This window comes from Homo sapiens, chromosome 19 (genome assembly GCF_000001405.40).
Source record: "Homo sapiens chromosome 19, GRCh38.p14 Primary Assembly".
Classification (NCBI taxonomy): domain Eukaryota; kingdom Metazoa; phylum Chordata; class Mammalia; order Primates; family Hominidae; genus Homo; species Homo sapiens.
The window spans coordinates 38,067,303-38,090,421 of NC_000019.10; the positions used below are offsets into that span (position 1 = coordinate 38,067,303).

A 23,119-nucleotide genomic window follows, 5' to 3' on the forward strand; every position below is an offset into this window, starting at 1 on the left:
CCTTAAAAGCAGAACAGGTCATGCAGGAACCCTGACCTGTGTGGGAGCCTTGCCAATTTGAATGTAACAGCTGGACGTGGCCTCCCTCTCTCCTGTGGGGACTGCCCTGGGTCCCTGGGTAGGAATTTGGGCTCCTTCTGGATGCTGGAGGAGATTTGTTTTAGAAACACCAATCCTCAGCCGGGCGTGGTGGCTCAAGTCTGTAATCCCAGCACTTTGGGAGGCCGAGGCGGGCAGATAACCTGAGGTCAGGAGTTCAAGACCAGCCTGGCCAACATGGCAAAACCCATCTCTACTAAAAATACAAAAATTAGCTGGGCATGGTGGTGCGAGCCTGTAATCCCAGCTACTCTGGAGGCTGAGGCAGAAGAATCGCTTGAACCCCGGAGGTGGAGGTTGCAGTGAGCCGAGATCATGCCACTGCACTCCAGCCTGGATGACAGAGTGAGACTCAGTCTGAAAAAAAAAAAAAGAAAGAAAGAAACACTAGTCCTCTGGGCTCTTTGACGTTAAATGTGGAAGTGCTGGCTTTCACAGCCGTGGCTGAGACTCCACTCGTTGCTCTTCCAGCCAGTGGAGCAGAGTCTCTGCCATGGCACTAGCTAATGAGATTTCTAAGATTTTCATCCATCTTATTTCCTGAGGGAGCTCTGTAGTGGTCCCATGTATGCTCAAACTCCCAGTAAGGTTGGGGAAGACATAGAGGGGAAAAATCAGATTTTTTTTTTTTTTTTTTTTGAGACAGAGTCTCACTCTTTTGCCCAGGCTGGAGTGCAGTGGCGCTATCTCGGCTCACTGCAAGCTCCACCTCCTGGGTTCACGCCATTCTCCTGCCTCAGCCTCCCGCGTAGCTGGGACTACAGGCGACCGCCACCATGCCCGGCTGATTTTTTTTCTTCATATTTTTTAGTAGAGACGGGGTTTCACCGTGTTAGCCAGGATGGTCTCGATCTCCTGACCTCGTGATCTGCCCGCCTCGGCCTCCCAAAGTGCTGGGATTACAGGCGTGAGCCACCACGCCCGGCCGAAAAATCAGATTCTTAACGTGCAATCTGCTGAGCTGTTGCTGACTTGCTGGAATTTTGTCCTTATGAATGGATTTTAAAGACAGTCAGCGTCATTCACGTATTCCCACAGCACACTCATTTGAACGATTTCATCTTATTTGGAGCACAGGGCAAAGGGGTGGCAGGCAGACTGTTGAGGTTTGAATCCCACCTGCCCCTCGTAACCTTTGCCTCATCTGTAAGATGGTCATGATGGAAGTCCCTACTTGGCAGGGCATGGTGGTTTGCACCTGTAACCCCAGCATTTTGGGAGGCCAAGGCAGGAGGATCACTTGAGGCCAGGAGTTTGAGGTTTTGTGAGACCTCATCTCTACAAAAAAAAATTTTTAAGTAAAAAATTAGCCGGTTGTGGTGGCACACAGCTGTAGTCCCAGCTACTCAAGAGGCTGAGGTGGGAAGATTGCTTGTGCCCAGGAATTTAAGGGCTGCAGTGAGCTATGATTGTACCACCACACTCCAGCCTGGGTGGCAAAGACCCTGTCTCAAAAAAGAGAAGAGAAATTTATTTAAAAAGGAAAAGAAGCCCCTACTTGATACAGTTGTTAGAACACACCAGTTAACACACGCCAGTGTGTAGCCCTGAATCTGGCGCATCAGGAGAGCTCATCAGTGTTGACCTTATGTTTAATACCGTCATCACCGTATTATCCCTCTCCACTGCCCCGCCCACATGTGAGAACAAATATGTTAGATCCCAGTCCACCCCAGACATGCATCTGTTCACAGTCTGGGGAAGACAGAAGATGCTCAGAGGCTTAAAAATCCAGTGGGCTAAGTCCCATATCAAGGGTGCATGTACATCCCCGGGAGCTCAGCAGAGGGAGGAAAGGGGGAATTCTGCCTGGCTTTAGTGGGACAGACAGCATGGGGGGACAATCGGAGGGAGGCGAGGACAAGGCGCTCTGAATCAGTGAACCCCTGAAATAACTCCTGCAAAGGTCACCAGTGCCCTTCATACCTATAACTGCCACCATACGTGACTCTTTGAGCAGCGTCCACTCCTGTTGACAGTTGGTCCTCCCCAACCACACCTGCGCTCCAGCCTCCCTGCTGGGCCTGCTGTATCTCATGTCCTGGCTCCCATCACCCACCTGCCCACTTGGATGTACAGCCTCTCCGAGCTCGGAGGCAGACCCTCTTCTCTCTGCTCTCTCTGTTCCTTCTGTCCTCACCTAAGACTGCACAGTAGAATCAGCTGCCGAGCTTTTAAGAGGCACTCAGGCCTGCGCCCCACCCCAACCAGCTAATTCAGAATCTCTGGGAGTGGGGTGTGGACAGATACCTATATATTTTTTTTTATTTTTTATTTTTGTGAGACAGAGTCTTGCTCTGTCTCCCAGGCTGGAGTGCAGTGGTGCGATCTCGGCTTACTGCAACCTCCACCTCCTGGGTTCAAGCGATTCTCCTGCCTCAGCCTCCCAAGTAGCTGGGACCACAGGCACGCGCCACTATACCTGGTTAATTTTTTTTTTTTTTTTGTATTTTTAGTAGAGATGGGGTTTTACCATGTTGGCCAGGCTGGTCTTGAACTCCTGACCTCAAGTGATCTGCCTGCCTTGGCCTCCCAAAGTGCTGGGATTACAGGCACGAGCTACCATGCCTGGCCCAGACACCTATATTTTTATAAAGCTCCTCTGTACCTCTATTGTATGCTGGCAGGAAGACCAGTCCCCCGAGCATCCCCATCTGGCCTTGGATACTGGCTGTTCCCAGCTTCCCTGCTCATCCACGGCAGGTACCCTCTCTTCTTGCAGATCCTGGTTTAGACACCACCCTTCAAGGAGTCTTCCTGACCCCCTCCCAACTATAGTGATCTTCAGTCCTATCTATCTATCTATCTATCTATCTATCTATTTTTGAGACAGGGTCTTGCTCTGTCACCCAGGCTGGAGTGCAGTGGCGTGATCACAGCTCACTGCAGCCTTGACCTCCTGGGCTCAAGCGATCCTCCCACCTCAGCCTCCCATAGTGCTGTGATTACACACATGAGCCACTGCACCCAGCCATTTTATGACCTTTACAATGCTGGCCACCCTTGGAAATTCTATTTTATTTCTCTGGCGTTTCTCTACTGGAGGTCCATTCATGAGAGCAGGGGCACAGTCTGTCCTGCTCAGAGATTTTCTTTAGCACCCACAGCAGTGGCGTGTAGTAGAAATAGATTGAGTAAATGAATGGATTTCGAGTGTTTGGTGCTTGTAGAATGAATGAATGAGTTATACATGACTGGGAAATGGTGAATAAATGAATATGTTTTTAGGGCTTTGTTGGCTGGAAGAACTTTTTTGAGGGATTTATAAGAACATGGTAGGTGTTTGTTGTGTGAGTGAATGGATGAATGGATGCATTTTAAGGACTAACTAGTTCTTCCTGGATAAACAAATGACTTGTACGTGCCCAGAAACTGCTGAGTCACTGGATGCATGCCTGGAGGAGTCCTCATTCCACCTGGGCCTTAGAGAGGAACCCTCGGACTTGATGCCACATCCCTGAGCCCTCCAGAGTGCTTGAGCCCCACTTAGCCTCCATGGCCGTGACTAGATCATGTTTCCCTGAAAGGGAGATGCTTGGAGCACATCAGGGCAGCCCTGAACACCCAGGGGGTCCCTCTACCTCTAAGCAAAGGCCTGTGAAAGGACAGCCCATCCCACCCCTACAAGCTATCTCCAAGCATTGCTTTCAGCTTCTTGGGCGTGCTGCTTCCCAGGGAAGGGCACACTCGGGCACCAAGCAGGCCCTGCTTGCCTTGGGTCACAGACCCCAACTGAGCCAGTGCTCCCTGGTCCTGAGTGAGGTTGTCATCCATCCAGTCATTTAATAGTTATGTTGTTTTATCTATCTATCTATCTATCTATCTATCTATCTATCTATCTATCTATCTATCTATCTATCTATCTGCCTGCCTACCCTACCTACCTGCCTACCTATCTATGTAGTGACAGAGTCTCACTTTATTGCCCAGGCGGGAGTACAGTGGCGTGATCTCGGCTCACTGCCACCTCCCTCTCCCAGGTTCAAGCAATTCTGTTGCCTCAGCCTCCCAAGTAGCTGGGACCACAGGCATGCACCACCATGCCTCGCTAATTTTTTCATATTTTTAGTGGACACGGGGTTTTACCTTGTTGGCCAGGCTGATCTCGAACCTCTGACCTCAGTTGATTCGCCCACCTCGGCCTCCCAAAGTGCTGGGATTACAGGCATGAGCCACTGTGCCCAATCAGATATTTATTTAGAAAAGAATTTTTTTAGAGACAGGGTCTCACTGTGCAACCAGGCTGGAGTGCGTGGTTCAACCCTGTCTCCTTCCTTTGTGATCAGCAGGGTCCCAGGTAAGGGCTGCTTTGTCTGCTGGGAGTGAAGTTGGCATGAGCAGGGCTCTCAGCCAGCCTGTGATGGACAGGAAATGTGAGCAAGAACCAAGCCTCAGTTGTGAAAGCCCCTGAGCATCTGGGGTCATTTGTTACTGCAGCATAGCTTAGCTCATCCCGCCTGTCCCAAGAAGGAACACATTTTGTGGATGGGGAGTGATCAAGAGTTCAGGTTGGGAATGTTCAGTTGCAGTGCATGTGAGATGTGTAAGTGGTGATGTCAAGTAATCAGGTGGGTAGGGGGGTTTGGAACTCAGAAGAGCAGTGGGAGCTGGAGATGTTTTCCGCATTGGCGACACACGTTTAAATGAGAATCACAGAGGTCCAGGCGCTGCCTGTGATTGCAAGGAAGGCTGGTGCTTGAACTCAGGACTGTCTGACTTGAGGTAAGAAGGGGCTGGGGTTGAGTCCCCACTGTGTCAACTCATAGCCATGTGGCTATGAGTTACTTCCTCTGTCTGCTCCTCACTTTCCTCATCTGTAAAATGGAGGTAATAATGATACCCACCTCATGGGGTTGTTGAAAGGGTTAACACATAGCAATTGACAGGTGTGAAGTGCTCTGGAAAGGACCTGGACCATAGAAGGATTCTATTCATGGTAGTTGCTGTCGTAGATACTGGCTTTTGTGTATGTTTTCATTGTTGTTTTGTTTTATAACTAAAATGTCCAGTGGTGGGAAATGGAATAGGGCTGACTTTGTGTCCAACTTGATGCAGAGACTCAAATGATGACTACAGCCCCAGATTCTAACTCCCAGTCCCCTTCACAGATAGTTCTTCTCCCATGGTTACGAGACAGCTGCAGCGACTCCATCCCTCACATCTTCTCAGACTTAGGGTTAAAGGGAAAAGCGCAGCCTTCAGCTCCAGCACTCCTGGTAAAGACATCACGGTCTCACTGGTTCTGATCAGGCCACATGGGTTGCTCCAGAGCTGGGGAAGGAGCCCCACCTCTAGCCCATTGGGTGGCCATTGGAGAGGGGAGGCTCCCAAAGGGAAGTCGGGACTGTTGGAAAAAGGAGTCCTGGCGACAGGGAAAGTAAACCACAACTGTCCACATTGGAGGGCTCTTGTGTTTCCCTATGCTGTGTCCTGTGAGCTTCTGGCAGACATTGCAGCCCTCACAGAGTTGGGCCTTTTGGAGCCAAGACACCAAGGCTGTGGGGCTTGCTTGCTTGTCGCAGGGGCAATCTGGGAGCATTTACACCCACAGATACATCACTGGTTGCCTGCTCTTCTAACAGACCCTGATGCGTCCCCACTGGCCCAGAGGCAATCAGGATGGCTACAGATGCTGGCTCTCCCAGCTTCCCTTGCAACCGGAGTGGCCGTGTATCCACATTCTAGCCAGTGGGACATAAAAGAAAGGATTGCAGCAAGGGGAATGTTCTGGGAAAGATTCTCCTTCCTGATTAGGGTCAGACCGGTGCCCTCACCATTCCTATCTTTCCCCTTTGCCCATGATTCAGTGGGAAGTGTGGCTGTGGCCACCAGCTTGTGACCGTGACGCAGCAAGCCAGAAGACTTGCTCAATCCTGCAGCACAGGAGGGAGGCAGAGGGAATGGGGGGACATGCTTCACATCGCTCTCCAGCTTTCCCACCAGGCCTGGAGCCGCCATATCTGGCCTCCTGGTGACATGAGATGACTAAATGTCTTCACCGTGCAAAGCACCGTTGGATAGTCTTCCGTTACTCGCAGCCAAACACATCCCAACTGACTGTCTCCCACTGCCACTCACTCCTCATTTTGCTGCTGTCTCCCAGGCTGCCCTAGTTTTCCCCATATACAGTTCCCCAGCTGCCCTCCTTCACACAGCACCGTGTGTCACTCGGGGTCCTCTGATGCCAGCAGCAGAAGCCACGCTTGGCAGTCTGTGGCCGAATCACAATTCACTGAGGATGTACAGAATGAACACGAGGCCAGAGGAGCAATCTTAGAAAACAGGGAGGGAGCCAAGGAAGCCCTGGAGGGAAGAAACCAGGGGTCCCCAGCAAAAGTCACTGCACAGGAGAAGCCAGGTCCACTGTGCCTGCCCCTGCAAGGACACTTTCCAGCCTCACATGCTCTTAGAAACCTCGCACGGAGTCCTAGGAGAGGACCCTGGGCCGACCAAGCCCACGTCCTGTGCCCACTCCAACTGTGCTTCTGTGGGGGGAAAGGGGAAGCACTTCTGCCAAAGATACACAACAGAACTGTAGTAAGAGCAGGTGGTATTATACCCATTTTACAGATTGAAACTGAGTCACTATTTCCATAACCCGTCCATGACACACGAGGATTGAGCCCAGGAGGCAGTCTGGTTCCTGCCTATGCTGTGCTTCTCTCATCACGGGGGTTCCCCATCGGGAAGGTCCAAGTGCTTTTAGGGAGGAGGAGCTCGGTAGAAGACAGCTGGAAAGAGACCAGTGTGCACCCTCTGAGTCCCAGAGGCTGCGGGTGCCACTCAGCCTCTGAATGTCACAGGAAGACTCGACTGCAGCTGCTAGGAGAAGGGATTTGTTCAGAGAGACGAAGGCCTGCAAGAACATCTGTGTGTGTGCACAGAAGGGAGCAGAATGGATTGAGGGTTTCTGACTGAGCTGGAAACAAATGCCATCAGCAAAGCCCATCTGTCGGGAGGTGCTTGCATAAGCAAGTCAGGGTCGCATCTGGGCCACTGGTTTTCCCAACCCAGCCTTAAGTGTGGCCTCAAAGGACTAATCCTCCCTCCGCACTCTGCACTCTGAAGGCAGAGCCACAACACAGGCTGGGCTGCTGAGGACAGGCAGCGCCCTCAGGCGGGCCATCATCCCAGCTTGACCTGGGATCTGGTGCCCAGCACAGCGGACTGTGGGGCAGGGTTCAGGCTCTCAAGCAAACAGTCTTGCCATTCTGTAACTGACAGTTTAGAGTGGAGACAATAAACACCATAGATAAAATAATTGCACTTTTCTCTGGCAAACCAGCAACCCCTGCTGAAGTGTGACCCACACATACTTATTTTGTTTACCCTCATTGTGTGTGTGTATGTGGTGTTTTGTTGTTGTTGTTGTTTGATTTTTGAGATAGAGTCTTGCTCTATCACTTGGGCTGGAGTGCAGTGGCACAATCACAGCCCACTGCAGCCTTGGCCTCCCAAATAGCTGGAACTACAGGCATACGCCACCACGCCTGGCTAAGTTTTAAAATTTTTTGTAGAGATGGGGTTTCACTGTAATGCCCAGGCTGGTGTCAAACTCCTGGGCTCAAACAGTCCTCCCTCCTCAGCCTCCCAAAGTACGGGTATTACAGGCATGAGCCACTGTGCCCGGCTTCATTGAGGTTTTTATTGTTAATGTTCTTAGGAAGTGCATTTTACCCTTGAACAACATGGGTTGGAACTGCGTGGATCTATGTATACATGAATTTTTTTCAATAAATATATTGGAAAATTTTTTAGAAATTTGCAACTATTTACTGGGCGTGGTGGCTCACGCCTATAATCCTAGCACTTTGGGAGGCCGAGGTAGGCAGATCACCTGAGGTTGGGAGTTCGAGACCAGCCTGCCCAACACGGAGAAAACCCGTCTCTACAAAAGACACAAAATTAGCTGGGCGTGGTGGCACATGCCTGTAATCCCAGCTACTCAGGAGGCTGAGGCAGGAGAATCGCTTGAACCCGGGAGGCGGAGGTTGCAGTGAGCTGAGATGGCGCCACTGCACTCCAGCCTGGGTGACAGAGTGATGCTCCGTCTCAGAAAAAAAAAGAGATTTGCAACTATTTGAAAAGAACTTGCAGGGGTGGGTGCGGTGGTTCACGCCTGTAATCCCAGCACTTTGGGAGGCCGAGGCTGGCGGATCCCTCGAGGCCAGGAGTTTGAGCTAGGCTTGCCAACATGGTAAAACCCTGTCTCTACTAAAAATACAAAAATTGGCCAGGCATGGTGGTGTGCACCTGTAATCCCAGCTACTCAGGAGGCTGAGGCAGGAGAATCACTTGATCCTGGGAAGCAGAGATTGCAGTGAGCCGAGATTGTGCCACTGTACTCCAGCCTGGGTGACAGAGCAACACTCTGTCTCAAAGAAAAAAAAAACAGAAAAGAAAAGATCTTGCAGGTGAACCACATAGCCTAAAAATATTTTTTAAAAAATAAAATGTTAAGGCCGGGCACGGTGGCTCACGCCTGTAACCCCAGCACTTTGGGAAGCCGAGGTAGGCGGATCACAAGGTCAGGAGATCAAGACCATCCTAACATGGTGAAACCCCGTCTCTACTGAAAATACAAAAAATATTAGCTGGCCGTGGTGGCGGGCGCGTGTAGTCTCAGCCACTCCAGAGGCTGAGGCAGGAGAATGGCGTAACCTGGGAGGCGGAGATTGCAGTGAGCTGAGATCGCACCACTGCACTCCAGCCTAGGCGACAGAGCAAGGCTCTGTCTCAAAAAATAATAATAATAATAAATAAGTAAATACATAAATAAATAAAAATAAAATGTTAGGTATGTCATGAATACATAAAATATATGTACATTAGTCTATTTTTCTATTTTATCATTTGCTACCATAAAATATACACAAATGCATTCTAAAAAGTTAAAATTTATCAAAACTTACACACACACAAACACACTGCCAAGCCAAGAGAAATGTAAACAAACATAAACATGCAGAATTAAATCATAACTGCATGAAATTAACTGCAGTACACACTGCACTACCGTCATAGTTTCGCGACCACCTCCTGTTGCTACTGCGGTGAGCTCAAGTGTTGTGAGTATCCATTTGAAACACCGTGTGACACTCATCATCTCCGCATGAGCAGTTTGTCTCTCCAGCAAATTGCACATCGCAGTAAAAAATGATCCCTAGAGGTTCTCACCTAGTTTTCATCGTGTTTAGTGCAATACTGTAAGCCCTGAATAACCTCAGGGGACCCGTACAAAGTGCCACTAGTGATGCTGGAAGTTGTCCCAAGAAGCAGAGAAAAGTCATAACATTACAAGAAAATATGCAATTGCTTGATATGTGCCATCGATGGAGATCTGCAGCTGCAGTTGCCCGCCATTTCCAGATAAATGAATCCAGTGTGAGGACCATCGTAAAAAATGAAAAGGAAATTCATGAAGCTGTCACTGCCTGTATGCCAGCAGGCACAAAAACCTTGCACTGTTTACAAAATATATTTTTATCTCGTGTTGCAAATGCAGCTTCTATGTGGGTACAGGATTGCTATAAGGCATACCTATAGATTGTAATTTGCTTCGAGAAAAAGTGAAGTCATTACATGGCAACCTAAAGCAAAAGGAAGAAGGAGGATCTCAAGCTGGGGAATTTAATGCCAGCAAAGGATGGTTTGATAATTTTAGAAAGAGTATGGCTTAAAAAATGTCAAGATGGCAGGAGAAGCAGCTTCTGCCAACCAGAGGCAGCAGATGAGTTCCCAGATGCCAGTGAGAAAGTCATTGAGGAGGCTGGGTACGGTGCCTCACACCTGTAATCCCAGTACATTGGGAGGCTGAGGTGGGAAGATCACTTGAGCCCAGGAGTTTGATACCAGCCTGGGCAACATACTAAGACCCCACCTCTACCAAAAATTTAAAAATTAGCTGGGCATGGTGACGTGCATCTGTAGTCCTAGCTACTCAGAAGGCTGAGGCAGGAAGATCACTTGAGCCCTGGAGTTTGAGGCTATAGTGAGCTATGATTGTACCACTGCACTCCAGCCTTGACAACAGAGAAAGACCCTGTCTCTAAAAAAAATAATAATAAAAATGAATAAGAAAAAGAAGTAAGCCTGTTCATAAGTGCTAAGGAGAAAAATGGAGCAGAGGAAGGGCCTGGGAGTGGTGGGGATAGACACACAGAGGCAAGCACTATTAGTTTTTTGAAAATTCTTCCGATCATCTCTGCATGATAGTTTGTTGTTGTTTCTGTTGTTTTTTCTTTTTTCTTTTTCTTTTTCTTTTTTTTTTTTTTTTTTTTTTTTTTTGAGATGGAGTCTCACTCTGTTGCCTAGGCTGGAGTGCAGTGGAGCAATCTCGGCTCACTGCATCCTCCACCTCCCAGGTTCAAGCAATCCTCCTGCCTCAGCCTCCCACGTAGCTGGGACTACAGGTGTGCGCCACCGCACCCAGCTAACGTTTCTATTTTTAGTAGAGACGGGGTTTCACCATGTTAGCCAGGCTGGTCTCGAACTCCTGACCTCAGGCAATCCACTTACCTCGGCCTCCCAAAGTGCTGGGGTTATAGGCATGAGCCACTGCGCCTGGCCAATATTTTTGCTTTTCCAATTGGGAAATGTTACATGCAACTCTAGATTTCTGATTTCTGTTGGAAAATCAGATGATCTGACATCCATACTCCCGCAAGCCTTGATTGTCAGAAGATGCCCTGCCATCCAGGTCAGTGCAGGCTCCTCTTGGCCTCTCTCCTGTCTCCCTTAGGCAACTCGACCCTGAGGGCTTTCCAGCTTCCTCTCTCTTCTGTAGCCCATCCCTGTGCTGCCTCCCGGCAACATCTTCAGGATCGTTTGTGTTCTCGTGGGGCACCAGGAAGAGGGGCTCCCCCTTGCTCCCCACTCTCCACCTGCCCTCTTCTGGTGCTCACTTTTTCAGAGGCTTCAGGCTCCCCTTGCTATTTGCTCCTTGAATCTGCTTTGAGCTTCCCTTGTGATCTCTGCCAGTGCGCTCCATAACTGGGCATAAATTAGGAAAAGCCCCCCTACACATGCGCATACATGCACACACACACACACACACACACACACACACAGGCACACAGACATGCACACACACACACAGGCACACAGACATGCACACACACACAGACGCACACAGACACGCACACACACAGACACGCACACAGACATACACAGAGACACGCACACACACACAGACACACACACACAGACACATACACGCAGAAGAGGCCTGCTACTTTCTCACACAGGAAGCTCCAATAGCCATTGATCAAGAACGGCTGCATCCAGCTCTAGATTCCCAGGGAAAGAAAAGTTAGAGGTCACCTTGAACCAAGTGCGTGGCCCAAAGCAGCACTCCACTGCCCTGAGCAAAATCAGTTCCGTTGGCAGGAGGGAGCGGGCACGGCTGCTGGGCAGTCAACAGCTTCCATCACAGACGGCGACCCACTTTCCCCTTCCTCTCCAGCAGGATTTTCATCTTCTAGAAGTTCAAGGTGGAGACAAAGGGAAGTGACCCCGCAGGGTGTTTTATATGCTGGACAGAAGCACAGACTCCCTTCCCCAGGGGCCTGCAAATCAGGAGGTACTTACACCTCCAATTAGGCAGAGGCCATCTGTTCACTCATATGTATAATACTAAACGAACGTCCTGGACGTTCTAGATGGCTCACGCCTGTAATCCCAGCACTTTGGGAGGCCAAGGCAGGCGGATCATGAGGTCAGGAGATCGAGACCATCCTGGCTAACACGGTGAAACCCTGTCTCTACTAAAAATACAAAAAAATTAGCCAGGTATGGTGGCAGGCACCTGTAGTCCCAGCTACTCAGGAGGCTGAGGCAGGAGAATGGCGTGAACCCAGGAGGCGGAGCTTGCAGTGAGCCGAGATCGCGCCACTGTACTCCAGCCTGGGCAACAGAGCGAGACTCCGTCTCAACTGTTCTAGGCACTGGGAATGCATCAGTGAACAACACAGACATCCCTGCCATTCTGGAGCCAACATTTGAGTGGTGGACCTAGCCAGTAGACAGAACGAACAACTGCTAAGAAAAATTGGAAGAAAGTAGAGTGGGTAATTAAGAAAGGCTTCCAGAAGACCGGGCTTCTCTGTCTCTATAGGGTGATTTGGGAAGGTTTTTGTGTTTGTTTTTGTTTTTGGGGATTTTTTTTTTTTTTTGAGATAGGATCTCGCTTTGTTGCCCAGGCTGGAGTGCAGTGGTGTGATCGTGGCTCATGCAATCTCAACCTCCCGGGTTCGAGTGATCCTTTTACCTCAGCCCCCTGAGTAGCTGGGACTACAGGCACATGCCACCATGCCTGGCTAATTTTTGTATTTTTAGTAGAGATGGGGTTTTGCCATGTTGGCCAGGCTGGTCTTGAGCTGCTGGGCTCAAGTGATCCACCCGCCTTGGCCTCCCAAAGTGCTGGGACTGCAGGTGTGAGCCACCGTGCCCAGCCGGAAGTCCCCATGGAAGAACTGACATCATGGGAAGGAACCAGCCCCAAGAAGGACTGAGGAAGGATATCAGATGTCCTGGATAAGGTTTGGTGCATCAGAACAGAAAAGAAGGCCAGTATGATCAGAGCTTAGTCAGGGATGGGGAGAGACATGGAAGCCAGATCCTGCGGGGCTTGTGGAGCAGGGGAAGGAGTTTGGATGGTGTTTTAATGCAGTAAGTAGTCACTGGGGAGATCTCAGTGAAAAAGTGATGGGCTCTGATTTACCCAGTCATAGTCTGCAGTAACCACATGGATTTCTAGAGACATTCCTTCTGCAGCTTTCCTCCCCAAACTCCACTGGTGCTCATGTTGACTCATCTGTCATTTTCACTTCCTTTCTGGCAGAGTAGCTGAGCTGAGCAAACAACAGAGCAGGTGGACAATAGTCTGGCCTCTGCATGAAGCCACCAGTTCACAGGAAATACAGGGGGCAGAGGAACATGTTAAGTGGCACCTCAGGGATCCTGAAAGTGGGGAAATCCACAGGACAGGTGACCCCTTTCCTTCAACAAGTAAAGAGCATCAAAATAAAGGAAGGTGGCCATTGTAGAGTAGAGGAGACTTGAGAAAATACCTGCATAAGCAGAGGATGATTTCGAACAAACCAGCTCACAAAAGACACCTGCGAGACAATGATGGGAAATGTAATGCAGGCAGGGTAGTGCATGACATTAAAGAATTCTTGTTAATGTAGATGAGTATGATAATGTTACTGTGATTTTTTTTTTTAAATCTTATGTACTAGAGATACAAGCTAAAATATTTATGGGTGAAATGACCTGATGTCTGGCCAGGTATGGTGGTTCATGCCTGTAATCCCAGCACTTTGGGAGGCTGAGGCGGGCGGGGATTGCCTGAGGCCAGGAGTTTGAGACCAGTTTGGCCAATATGACAAAACCCCGTCTCTACTAAAAATAAGAAAAATTAGCCGGGCATGGTAGCACATGCTGGAATTCCAGCTACTTGGGAGGCTGAGGCAGGAGAATCATTCGAACCTTCGAGGTGGATGTTGCAATGAGCCAAGCACATGCCACTGCACTCCAGCCTGGGTGACAGAGCGAGACTCTGTCTCAAAAAAAAAAAAAAATGATGTCTGGGGTTTACTCTAAAACATTCTATCAGAAACAAAGAAGGTCACAAGGCTGGGTGAATAGATGAAATGGGAATGGAAAATAGTTAGTGGTTGTTGGAGCTGATGGGTGACTCAGTCTCCTCTCTGCTTTTGAGTATGTTTGCAAATTTCCATAATAAAAAGATTTTTTAAATGAGTAAGGCTGTCAAGAAAAGTCACATGTCCCACTTTCTGGGAGCAGTAACACGGCCATCGCAGCTCATATTTTCCTTTTCTTCCATTTCAGCATGGCGAGGACAACATCCTTGCTGCCTCCAGCTGGCGGGCGACCACAGCTACTGCCTGCTCTGCGCTACTGAGCCACTCGGTCTGGAGCCCCCAGGACAGCACCTGCTTCCTGAGGTTGTCCTGGCTCAGCTGTGCACAGCGATGGTGGAGAACTGGACTCCACAGGCTCACAACCTTCCTGTCAGGTTTCAGGGCCCAGCATCCTTCATCCTGGGCCTGGCTGCCCTGAACAATGGCTGAGGGCTGGGGGACCCCATAGAGTGACACCACAGCGTACGGGGCCAGCAGCACTCCAGTGCCCGTGGACTATGACCACCTATCGGGCCATCCCCAGCGATGGTGTGGACCTGGCAGCCAGCTGTGGCGCCAGGGTGGGCGATGTCCTCCCTGGGCCACACACAGGGGACTACGCTCCCTTGGGATTCTGGGCCCAGAATGGCAGCATGTCCCAGCCTCTTGGCGAGAGCCCGGCCACCGCCACCGCCACCGCCACCGCCACCACCCGCCCCAGCCCCACCACTCCCGCAATGCCCAAGATGGGCGTGCGCGCAAGGGTGGCCGACTGGCCGCCCAAGCGGGAGGCCCTGAGAGAGCACAGCAACCCAAGCCCCTCCCAGGACACAGATGGCACAAAGGCCACCAAGATGGCCCATTCCATGAGGAGCATACAGAACGGACAGCCCCCCACCAGCACCCCGGCTTCCTCAGGGTCCAAAGCCTTCCACCGACTCTCCAGGAGAAGGTCCAAAGACGTGGAGTTCCAGGACGGGTGGCCCCGGTCCCCCGGCAGGGCCTTCCTCCCCCTTCGGCACCGCAGCAGCAGCGAGATCACCCTCAGCGAGTGTGACGCGGAGGACGCGGGGGAGCCGCGGGGGGCCCGGCACACGGGGGCGCTGCCCCTCTTCCGCGAGTACGGGAGCACCTCGTCCATCGACGTGCAGGGCATGCCCGAGCAGAGCTTCTTCGACATCCTGAACGAGTTCCGCAGCGAGCAGCCCGACGCCCGAGGGTGCCAGGCCCTCACCGAGCTCCTCCGGGCAGATCCTGGCCCACACCTCATGGGGGGCGGCGGCGGAGCCAAGGGGGACTCCCACAACGGGCAGCCCGCCAAGGACAGCCTCCTGCCACTGCAGCCCACGAAGGAGAAGGAGAAGGCCCGGAAGAAACCTGCGCGGGGCCTCGGCGGCGGGGACACGGTGGACTCGTCCATCTTTCGGAAGCTAAGGAGCAGCAAACCCGAGGGGGAGGCTGGGCGTTCCCCGGGGGAGGCCGACGAGGGCCGGAGCCCCCCGGAAGCCAGCAGGCCGTGGGTGTGTCAGAAGAGCTTCGCCCACTTCGACGTGCAGAGCATGCTGTTCGACCTCAACGAGGCGGCCGCCAACAGGGTGTCGGTGTCGCAGCGGCGGAACACCACCACGGGTGCTTCGGCCGCTTCCGCCGCCTCGGCCATGGCCTCCCTCACGGCCTCGCGGGCCCACAGCCTCGGAGGCCTGGACCCGGCCTTCACCAGCACAGAGGACCTAAACTGCAAGGAGAACTTGGAGCAGGACCTCGGCGATGACAACAGCAACGACCTGCTGCTCAGCTGCCCGCACTTCCGCAATGAGATCGGGGGCGAGTGTGAGCGCAACGTGAGCTTCTCCCGGGCTTCCGTGGGCTCCCCGAGCAGCGGCGAGGGCCACCTGGCAGAGCCCGCCCTGAGCGCCTACCGCACCAACGCCAGCATCTCGGTGTTGGAAGTTCCCAAGGAGCAGCAGCGGACGCAGAGTCGGCCCCGGCAGTACAGCATCGAGCATGTGGACCTGGGCGCCCGCTACTACCAGGATTACTTCGTGGGCAAAGGTGACGGATGGCGTGTGGGTGGGAAGGTTGGGTGGGCCGAGGCTTGCCTCCGAGACCCCCACTACTCATTCATTCACTCTGTGCCAGGCCCTGCTCTGGCACTGAGGATGTGGCGGGAACAGAGACCTCCCTTCTGGAGGGCTGTGAGGATCCGGTGAGCAGAGCCACCCGGGCCTCAGCCCTGTGTCTGACACAGCAGCACTCCATAAACCTTGAGCTACAGGACACAGCTCTGCATTTACTCAGCACATATGGACTTGGGGACAGCTCAGTGCCAGGCACTCTCTAGAGCCTGGGGATGTAGTATCAACCAGCTTAAAACAAATGTTCTGTCTTCCTAGTACTTATAATGTTTTCATGGGTAACACAAACATAGAACAGGATAAATACGAAAAATACACAAGGGATTGTAGGCTGCTAAATGCAGTGGAAAAGAGTACAGCAGGGAAGAAGGAAATGGAGTGTCGGAGGGTGGGGGCAGATCCCAGTGGGGGATGGTCAGAGGGGGCCTCCGAGGCAGGTGCAGTTTGAGTACCAAGCTGAAGTCACCATGTGCAAATTGCAGACACTGTTCCCAGAACAGAGCAGCGAATACAAAAGTCTTGGAACTGCCCGGCGCAGTGGCTCACGCCTGTAATCCCAGCACTTTGGGAGGCTGAGGCAGGCGGATCACTTGAGGTCAGGAGTTCAAGACCAGCTTGGCCAACATGGTGAAACCGCATCTCTACTAAAAATACAAAAAAATTAGCCAGGCATGGTGACATGTGGCTGTAATCCCAGCTACTTGGGAGGCTGAGGTAGGAGAATCGCTTGAACCCAGGAGGCAGATGTTGCGGTGGGCTGAGATCATGCCACTGCACTCCAGCCTGGGTGACAGAGTGAGACTCTGTCTCAAAAAAAAAAAAAAAAAAAAATTGAGAATTGCTTGTAACTGCTAGTAACAGGCTTAAACAACATAGAAGGGACTCTCCTGTGAAGAAATCCAGAGTTCAGCAGCCCAGGGCTGGTATGGTCAGTCTTAAGCATCAGTATGGTCAGCCTTAGTGCATGGCATGATCCCCCACTGCTCCACACCAAGATGGCTGCTGGAGTGCCAGGCGTCACATCTGTGTTTCCAGGCAGAGAAAAAGAGGAAAGGGTAAGGACAAAAAGGCAGACCTCTTGTCAAGTCAACCCCCTTATGCCCTTATGCCTAGTGTTTCATTATTGGAACGCTAAGCATGTGGGAGTTATAGCCTACTGCTCAAGGACATTGCCAGGGTCTGAATTTTTACTTGTGGAAAAATTCAAAAAATTGCAGCCTCCGGCATAAATGCGTTAAAGAGCTTTCTCAGAAGCCCGGTCCAACTACTTGCACTTAGTGGCCACACCTGTGTGCAAAAGAGGCTGGGAAACGCAGGTTTTTAGCTAGACAAAGTTTTTCTTTTCCAAGAATAGAGGGCTTTTCTTAAAAAAAAAAAAAAAAAAAAAAGACGAAGTACTAGCAGCTAGTACCCCACAGCAGCTAGGTTTTTTTTTGTTGTTTTTTTCTTTTTCTTTTTTTTTTTTTTTTTTTGAGGCAGTCTCGCTCTGTCGCCTCGCCCAGGCTGGAGTACAGTGGCGCGATCTCAGCTCACTGCAGCCTCTGCCTCCTGGGTTCACGCGATTCTCCTGCCTCAGCCTCCTGAGTAGCTGGGATTACAGGCGCTCGCTATCATGCCCAGCTAATTTTTGTAGTTTTAGTAGAGACAGGGTTTCTCCATGTTGGCCAGGCTGGTCTCGAACTCCTGACCTCAGGTGATCCACCCACCTTGGCCTCCCAAAGAGTTGGGATTACAGGCGTGAGCCACCATGCCCAGCTCACAGCAACTAGTTTTTAAAAATATTTAAAGTAATATCCTTGTCAAACATAACAAATGTCAGTTAAGTCATCCCACAGGACACTGGAGCTCCAACTTGGAGTCAGACAGCCCTCGGTTTGGGGTATCTGTTCCATAGCTGATCCACGTGATACGTTTTACCCTTCAGACTGTGTGACAAATGAAGATGATTATATCAATATCACATGCACAAACAGAATGACACAGAGATTGAAAAGAAAGGGATAAAAAAGAAGTTCCAGGCCGGGCACGGTGGCTCACGCTTGTAATCCCAGCACTTTGGGAGGCCAAGGTGGGTGATCACAAGGTCAGGAGATTGAGACCATCCTGGCTAACACGGTGAAACCCTGTCTCTACTAAAAATACAAAAAATTAGCCGGGCATGGTGGTGGGCGCCTGTAGTCCCAGCTACTCGGGAGGCTGAGGCAGGAGAATGGCATGAACCCGGGAGGCAGAGCTTGCAGTGAGCCGAGATCGCGCCACTGCGCTCCAGCCTGGGCAACAGAGTGAGACTCCGTCTCAAAAAAAAAAAAAAAAAAAAGAAGTTCCAGACAGTTGCTTACAAGGAAAAAGCCAATGAGGCAATGTCAGTATCACATGAAATAGATGTAAAGGTTGAAAGCACCTTTTAGAGGAACTAAGGAGGCCATTTCATGTTTCTTAAAGTTCGCCAAGAAATTCTGGTAGTTGTGAACCTTCGTATACCTGGCAACTTGGTTTAGGGGTACCTAGATTTAAAAAATGGATCAGGCTGGCTGAGCGCATTGGCTCATGCCTGTAATCCCCGCACTTTGGGAGGCCCGAGGCGGGCAGATCACGTGGGGTCAGGAGTTTAAGACCAGCCTGGCCAGCATGGTGAGACCCTGTCTCCACTAAAAAATACAAAAATTAGCTGGGCGTGGTGGCGGGTGCCTGTAATCCCAGCTACTTGGGAGGCTGAGGCCGGAGAATCGCTTGAAGCTGGAAGGCAGAGGTTGCAGTGAGCCGAGATCGCACCATCACAATCCAGCCTGGGCGACAGAGTGAGACTCTGTCCCCTCAACCAAAACAAAACAAAAAAAAAACGCTACGGGGAGAAGTAGAAAAACTCACAACCATAGCGGGAGAAGTGCACAGATTATCTCTCTGAAGTTGACAGAATCTAGTAGCTGAAAAATAAGGATTTAGAGGATTTAGATAACCTAATGAAAACTTGATTTTACACTGTATATGTATTAACTTTGTACCTAACCAACAAAGAACACATTCTTTTCAACCTACACGTACAAATACGTACATGAAAGGAATGTGGATCAAATAAAGATCAAATAAGATTATACATTAAAATACTTAGTTCTTTGTTAGGCAGGTAGGAAGTACTCATCCTGGAGCTTTAAAAAAAAAAGCCGTTTTCTTTTTAAAAATTTCTTTGTAGCCCTGAAAGCTGTTAAAGAAAAAAACGTTCTGGCCAAGCACAAGGGCTCCCTGAAAGTGTAATTCCACCACTTTCGGAGGCCGAGGTAGGATGATTACTTGCCCCAGGAGTTAGAGACCAGCCTGGGCAACATAGTGAGACCTCAAAAAAAGGTTAAAAATTTAGCCAGGTGTGGTGGTGCATGTCTGTAGTCCCAACTGTTGTGGAGGCTGAGATGGGAGGATCGCTTCAGCCCTAGAGGCAGAGGTTGCAGTGAGCCATGATTGCACCACTGCACTCCAGCCTGAGTGACACAGCAATACCCTGTCTCAAAAAACAAAAACTCTTCAATAATATTTGTTAAAGCACAGTAAAGAATGTATTCAGAACCATCACAGCAGGCATAGGGACCACTGCAGCGGAGTCTGGCAGTAGGGAAGAGAGATTGGGCTTAACTCTGAATACAGCGTAGTCAAGTAGGAATTTATAGCCAAGAAGCAAGGTGGGGATCAGTGCATGGAAGAAACTATTAAGAAGAAATGTCAGAGGTAAGGAAGATTCTGGCTAAACCAACCTAATGTTGCTGATGACACGCCAGGATGATCAGACATCACCTTTGGATGGTGGAAGATGAAGAGCTTGATCAGGTGTTGAAGATGTCCAGATATTGAGGATAAGGTTGGGGGGCAGGGTTCTTGCTAAACTGACTTAGCGCAGGGTTCTTTGTTAAAACTGGATTTTACAAGGAGGTGCACAGATGGGCCTAGGAGAAGATTCCAAAGCCTGACTAAAGTTTGGCCAAGCAAAGAATCTTTGTCAAAGCTAGTAAATAAGTCATTGGTCAGTGTTTATTGAGTGCCTACTATATGCTAGGATTCGCAAGGAGCTAGATATGCATTGATGGAAAAAGCAACAACCCCTGTAGCTGCTTCAGGAATAAGCTGGTATTTGTGATCTGTAGAGTACAATGTTTATTCCATTCTCTGATCAGCTGGAGATTGTTGAACCCCCTGCAGATGCTGTTCTGATCGGGGTCATTAATTACCACACAGTATTTTGCCCTTAGACTAGCCTTTGATTTGCCAAGAGCATCTCATGAGAACCAGAACCATCAGTTAAACATTCAGTGTACCAGTACAATTTCCGGTGGTGGGTAGATGCTAACTTTGTGGACTTGGATCAAGACAGACCGCTGGCGGATACCCACACAAGCATGAGATACTTGGGTTATACATCAGGAAGAACTATTTGCCTGGAAGGGTTATAAGATAGTAGCATGTTTTAGAAAAAAAGAGGAGGCAGCTGTCAGGTAGACGAGGGAGCAGGAGGTGTGTCCCATGCCTGGCTAAAGCCTCTGTTACCCTAAGGGAAAAAACAGCAGTGTTGGCCGGGCACGGTGGCTCACGCCTGTAATCCCAGCACTTTGGGAGGCCGAGGTGGGCAGATCACAAGGTCAGGAGATCGGGACCATCATGGCTAACATGGTGAAACCCCGTCTCTGCTAAAAATATAAGAAATTAGCCAGGCGCGGTGGCGGGCGCCTGTAGTCCCAGCTACTCGGGAGGCTGAGGCAGGAGAATGGAGTGAACCCGGGAGGTGGAGCTTGCAGTGAGCCGAGATCGCGCCAATGCCCTCCAGTCTGGACAACAGTCTCAAAAAGAAAAAAAAAGAAAAAAAGCAGTGTTGAAGTTACCTAGGTAAAGAAACATGGTGAGATAAAGGTGATGCCTAGGGGCCCCTATCGTGGTCCCTGACAGGCACCAACAACTGGGGATGGTCATTGCCAACACTCATCATGTGCGTACTATGTGCCTGGCACGGTGCTGAAGGCTGGGTCCACCTTTAACTTTACGGCTGAAAATGCTATCTAGCGACTTGGCTGGGGCCAGACATCTATTAAGGGGCAGAGCCCAGGTGTGAGGAGGCTCTCTAGAATCTTTCTTAACAGTTTCACAAGGGCTAATCCGCAGTTAAACCAAGTGGACCATTTGCAAACACGGGATTAATCGCAGTGATGCTGGGTTGATGGCATGCCATGCACTGTACTAAGTGTTTCATATTTGTAGCTTCATTTTTGCCTTCACATCCACTCTCTGAATTGTGGGTGGCATCAAGGTCCTGTTTTCTCAGATGAGAGCGCTGAGGCTCAGAAAAGTTCTGTGGCTTGGCAGGTGGTACAGTAAGGTGGGCTTTTGCCTCTTACAGTGTCTCCACTGGGGGTGTCTGTGACCAGGCATGAGGTTTGCGTGACCAGCATCCCACAGATTGCACAGGACCCTGCCTGGTCGCCCTGTCTGCAGGCCTGCTGGGCATCAGGGCCCCTCCTTCCCAGACAGCTGAGCCTGAACTCGCCTGCTCTTCCTTCTTAGAACATGCCAATTACTTCGGCGTGGATGAGAAGCTGGGGCCAGTGGCTGTGAGCATTAAGCGGGAGAAGCTGGAAGACCACAAGGAGCACGGACCTCAGTACCAGTACAGGATCATCTTCCGGACCCGCGAGGTAGGTCCCATCACTCTCGTTCTTATTAAAGAAATCATAGCCACTCACATCTCGAGCCAGGTTCTGGGGGCAAACGCTTCCCCAGCTTCATCTCATGGAATCCTCCCAACAACCCCGGGAGAGCAATCCTGTTAGTCTCTCCATCTCACAGAGGAAGAAACTAAGACGCAGAATTTAAATGACTTCTGGCCAGGCATGGTGGCTCACGCCTGTAATCCCAGCACTTTGGGAAGCTTGGCGGGTGGCTCACTTGAGATCAAGAGTTCAAGACCAGCCTGACCAACATGGCGAAACCCCATCTCTACCAAAAATACAAATTAGCCAGGTGTGGTAGCACGCGCCTGTAATCCCAGCTATTGGGGAGACTGAGCCAGGTGAATTGCTTGAACCTGAGAGGCAGAGGCTGCAGTGAGCTGAGTTTATGCCACTGCACTCCAGCCTGCCAGCCTGGGTGACAGAGTGGTGAGACTGTGTCTCAAAAAAAAAAAAAAAAAAAGAAAAAAAAAATTAAATGATTTCTATAGGATCAGTGAACCAGTAGCCAGACCAAGATTTCAGTCCAGGGTGTCTGACTTCAGAGCCCAACATTACAAAACCTGTTTGCAAGAGATTAGCTCTAATAAGCATAAGAAATAAAAGGGAAGGTAAGGGATCATTTTAGGAACATGAGGTGTCCTACGTAATGGAAAGAATTAAGGCAACAAGCCTCAGGCAGGACAGGAACTGGGGACTCTCAACCACAGGTACTGCTGTTATGCCAATCAGCTCAAGGTACTCCCAATGTGTCACTTTCCATTCTGAGTAGAGAAGCCCATGGTCCTGGCTGGAAGCCTTCCCCTGGATTAAATGTCAACTGTAGCTAGTGAGGAAGGCCTGTTGGGGCACCCATGCTCTATTAGGACTCTAAATTGTAAGTGACAGAAATCTATTTCTAACTTGCTTAAGTCAGAAATAGCATTCATTGGTTCATGTAACTGCAAATCTAGGGGTAGGGCAAACTTCCGGCATAGCTGGACTTAGAGACTCAAATGCAGTCTCCAGAACTCTGCTTCTTTAACTCTCTGCTTGGCTCTGCTTTTTGCATCGCGAGTGTCATTTTCTTCTGCCACTAACAAGCTCTCACCATGTCATGGGAACATGGAGATGGGCTGCTCAAATCTACTTCTTTGCACTGTCTCTTCCAAAAGGCTCAGACTGGCCAGGCGCAGTGGCTCACTCTTGTAATCCCAGCACTTTGGGAGGCCGAGGCAGGCAGGTCACCTGAGGTCAGGAGTTCGAGACCAGCCTGGCCAACATGGTAAAACCCCGTCTCTACTAAAAATACAAAAATTAGCTGGGCGTGGTGGCAGGCACCTGTAATCCTAGCTACTCAGGAGGCTGAGACAGGAGAATTGCTTGAACCCGGGAGGCAGAGGTTGCAGTGAGCTGAGATCGCGCCATTGTACTCCAGCCTAGGTGACAAATGCAAAACTCCATCTCAAAAAAAAAAAAAAAAAAGGCTTACACTGATTTATCTGGGAAGAACTCTGGCTCTGCTTTAGATCACAAGCCCAAGTCCTGAGCCAGTCGC

The 23,119-nt window shown here is 50.3% G+C and overlaps 1 protein-coding gene across 8 annotated transcripts in view, besides 4 other annotated features; it reads left to right on the forward strand.

Annotated features, from left to right (window-relative positions):
* Positions 1-23,119, forward strand: part of SIPA1L3 (signal induced proliferation associated 1 like 3) — a 301,162-nt gene that overhangs the window by 160,095 nt on the left and 117,948 nt on the right. For all 8 annotated transcript variants that reach the window (XM_047438486.1, NM_015073.3, XM_017026518.3 and 5 more), the window contains 2 exons: positions 13,954-15,797; positions 21,419-21,549. In XM_047438486.1, the coding sequence (XP_047294442.1) occupies positions 14,264-15,797; positions 21,419-21,549 (1,665 nt within the window). In that variant the 5' untranslated portion in view covers positions 13,954-14,263. The remainder of the gene's footprint in view (positions 1-13,953; positions 15,798-21,418; positions 21,550-23,119) is intronic.
* Positions 3,183-3,684: an enhancer, noted in NCBI's record as "H3K27ac hESC enhancer chr19:38561125-38561626 (GRCh37/hg19 assembly coordinates)". NCBI's record gives its function as "activates a minimal SCP1, AML or CMV promoter by ChIP-STARR-seq in naive H9 embryonic stem cells {active_cell/tissue: H9 hESC(naive)}" and the evidence as "EXISTENCE:reporter gene assay evidence [ECO:0000049][PMID:30033119]".
* Positions 3,685-4,184: an enhancer, noted in NCBI's record as "H3K27ac hESC enhancer chr19:38561627-38562126 (GRCh37/hg19 assembly coordinates)". NCBI's record gives its function as "activates a minimal SCP1, AML or CMV promoter by ChIP-STARR-seq in naive H9 embryonic stem cells {active_cell/tissue: H9 hESC(naive)}" and the evidence as "EXISTENCE:reporter gene assay evidence [ECO:0000049][PMID:30033119]".
* Positions 7,133-7,632: an enhancer, noted in NCBI's record as "H3K4me1 hESC enhancer chr19:38565075-38565574 (GRCh37/hg19 assembly coordinates)". NCBI's record gives its function as "activates a minimal SCP1, AML or CMV promoter by ChIP-STARR-seq in primed H9 embryonic stem cells {active_cell/tissue: H9 hESC(primed)}" and the evidence as "EXISTENCE:reporter gene assay evidence [ECO:0000049][PMID:30033119]".
* Positions 14,144-14,697: an enhancer, noted in NCBI's record as "H3K27ac-H3K4me1 hESC enhancer chr19:38572086-38572639 (GRCh37/hg19 assembly coordinates)". NCBI's record gives its function as "activates a minimal SCP1, AML or CMV promoter by ChIP-STARR-seq in naive H9 embryonic stem cells {active_cell/tissue: H9 hESC(naive)}" and the evidence as "EXISTENCE:reporter gene assay evidence [ECO:0000049][PMID:30033119]".